The sequence below is a fragment of the Homo sapiens genome, chromosome 4, assembly GCF_000001405.40.
Source record: "Homo sapiens chromosome 4, GRCh38.p14 Primary Assembly".
Classification (NCBI taxonomy): Eukaryota; Metazoa; Chordata; class Mammalia; order Primates; family Hominidae; genus Homo; species Homo sapiens.
In genome coordinates, this window is record NC_000004.12 from 75,312,466 (window position 1) to 75,315,589 (window position 3,124).

Here is a 3,124-nt window from a genome sequence, read left to right on the forward strand (position 1 = left end):
CATTGCTCCTCAGCAACTTTTTTAAGAATAGGCTGGCTTCTCTGAAGAATTATTCTCTGTAAAAAGCCAGAAGTTTGTCATGAGTGTTAGGGTCATTTCTTCCAACAGCCCCACTATATATCCTGAGTGAGTTTCTCATTTCACAGACCATTTTTATCTCCATAATTCTGCAGCTAGGTGAATGGCAGCCTCCCAGGAAGATATTAATATACTGTTAGTCTGTTGCACTGTGCACAGCTTGAAACACAACTAATAAATTTCCTGTAAATTTTTCTCATCCCCTTTAAGCCTTAACTTTCTCAGGATGTGTGTGGTGCTGCTGGGCTGTCAAAGAAGCTGTCCCTGGAAAGCCTCTCATTTTTCTTTTAGTGCAAATTCTTAAAAAGTCACAAAGCAAAACAAATTACCCCTATAAAAATTATAACAGCCAACAGGAAAATTCATGACAGCCCTCCTCCAGAAACACAGCTGCCACAATTCATGCTCACCCACATCCATTAACCACCCATCTCCCCTGCACCTAGTGAGGCATGGGCTCTGGGGAGTGGGCTCTAGGACCTTGAAGAGCAGCATGCTGTCTCCACCAGTTTCTCTACCTGCCCCAGACCACTTCTGACCTCACCATGACACCAAAACTGCTCTCACCAGGGCCATCAATGATCACCTAGAGGTTGTAAAATTCAATGGGCAACTTTCAACCATTTTTTTTCCTGATCTCTCAGGAGAAGTACTCTCAATGAGTAGCTTCTATGAGAAAAAGATTCTTGTTTTTGGGTTCTAAAATGTTTCCCCCTTTATCTGGTTTTTATTTGTCTCCTCCTTTACTGTTCCTACTCCTCCAGTCTTTTAAACTGTTGGCCCTCCTCTTTCCTAAGCCCTTTACCTCTTTATTTAACACCCTTCCTCTAGGCAGACTCACCCTACCTCACAGATTCAATTACTATCCACATATCAACAACTCTCAGATATTTTTCTTCACCCAGATATCTCTGTTTAAAACCTTTATCTGGAGGTTCCAAGATGGCTGAATAGGAACAGCTCCAGTCTACAGCTCCCAGCATGAGTGACACAGAAGACGGGTGACTTCTGCATTTCCAACTGAGGTACCGGGTTCATCTCACTGGGGCTTGTCAGACAGTGGGTACAGCCAACGGACCAGGGTGGGGCTCACCTCACCCAGGAAGAACAAGGGGTCGGGGAATTCCCTTTCCTAGCAAAGGGAAGCCATGACAGATGGTACCTGGAAAATTGGGACACTCCCACCCTAATACTGCACTTTTCCAAAGGCCTTAGCAAACAGCACACCAGGAGATTATATCCCACACCTGGCTTGGAGACTTCCACCCCTGTGGAGCCTCACTCACTGCTAGCACAGCAGTCTGAGATCGAACTGCAAGGCGGCAGTGAGGCTGGGGGAAGGACATCCGCCATTGTTGAGGCTTGAGTAGGTAAAAAAAGCAGCCAGGAATCTCCCACCACACCTCAAGGAGGCTTGCCAGCCTATGTAGACTCCACTTCTGGGGGCAGGGCATAGCAGAACAAAAGGCAGCAGAAATTTCTGAAGATTTATACGTCCCTGTCTGACAGTTTAGAAGAGAGTAGAGGTTCTCCCAGCACAGAGTTTGAGATCTGAGAATAGTCAGACTGCCTCCTCAAGTGGGTCCCTGACCCCCAAGTAGCCTAACTGGGAGACACCTCCCAGTAGGGGCTGACTAACACCTCATAGAGTCCGGTGCCCCTCTGAGATGAAGCTTCCAGAGGAAGAATCAGGCAGCAACATCTGCCATTCTGCAATATTTGCTGTTCTGCAGCCTCCACTGGTGATACCCAGGAAAACGGCGTCTGGAGAGGACCTCCAGCAAACTGCAACAGACCTGCAGCTGAGGGTCCTGACTGTTAGAAGGAAAACTAACAAACAGAAAGGACATAGACACCAAAACCCCATCTATACATCACCATGATCAAAGACCAAAGGTAGACAAAACCATAAAGTTGGGGAGAAACCAGAGCAGAAAATTTGAAAATTCTAAAAATCAGAGCACCTCTTCTCCTCCAAAGGAATGCAGCTCCTCGCCAGCAACAGAACAAAGCTGGATGGAGAATGACTTTGACGAGTTGAGAGAAGAAGGCTTCAGACAATCGGTAATAACAAACTTCTCCGAGCTAAAGGAGGATGTTCAAACCCATTGCAAAGAAGCTAAAAACCTAGAAAAAAGATTAGATGAATGGCTAACTAGAATAAACAGTGTAGAGAAGTCCATAAATGACCTGATGGAGCAGAAAACCATAGCACAAGAACTACGTGATGAATGCACAAGCTTCAGTAGCCAATTTGATCAAGTGGAAGAAAGGGTATCAGTGAATGAAGATCAAATGAATGAAATGAAGCAAGAAGAGAAGTTTAGAGAAAAAAGAATAAAAAGAAATGAACAAAGTCTCCAAGAAATATGGGACTATGTGAAAAGACCAAATCTACTTCTGATTGGTGTACCTGAAAGTGACAGGGAGAATGGAACCAAGTTGGAAAACATTCTGCAGGATATTATCCAGGAGGACTTCCCCAACCTAGCAAGGCAGGTCAACAGTCAAATTCAGGAAATACAGAGAACACCACAAAGATACTCCTCGGGAAGAGCAACTCCAAGACACATAATTATCAGATTTTCCAAAGTTGAAACGACAGAAAAAACGTTAACAGCAGCCAGAGAGAAAGGTCAGGTTACATACAAGGGGAAGCCCATCAGACTCACAGCGGATCTCTTGGCAGAAACTCTACAAGCCAGAAGAGTGGGGGCCGATATTCAACATTCTTAAAGAAAAGAATTTTCAACCCACAATTTCATATCCAGCCAAACTAGGCTTCATAAGTGAAGGAGAAATAAAATCCTTTACAGACAAACAAATGCTGAGAGATTTTGTCACTACCAGACCTGCCTTACAAGAGTTCCTAAAGGAAGCACTAAACATGGAAAAGAACAACTGGTACTAGCCACTGCAAAAACATGCCAAATTGTAAAGACCATCAATGCTAGGAAGCAACTGCATCAACTAAAGAGCAAAATAACCAGCTAACATCACAATGACAGGATCAAATTCACACATAACAATATTAACCTTAAATATA

The 3,124-nt window shown here is 44.1% G+C and overlaps 1 annotated feature.

Annotated features, from left to right (window-relative positions):
• Positions 565–1,764: an enhancer, noted in NCBI's record as "MED14-independent group 3 enhancer chr4:76238240-76239439 (GRCh37/hg19 assembly coordinates)". NCBI's record gives its function as "activates an origin of replication core promoter dependent on BRD2, BRD4, P300/CBP and CDK7 cofactors, and independent of MED14, by STARR-seq in HCT116 cells {active_cell/tissue: HCT116}" and the evidence as "EXISTENCE:reporter gene assay evidence [ECO:0000049][PMID:35650434]".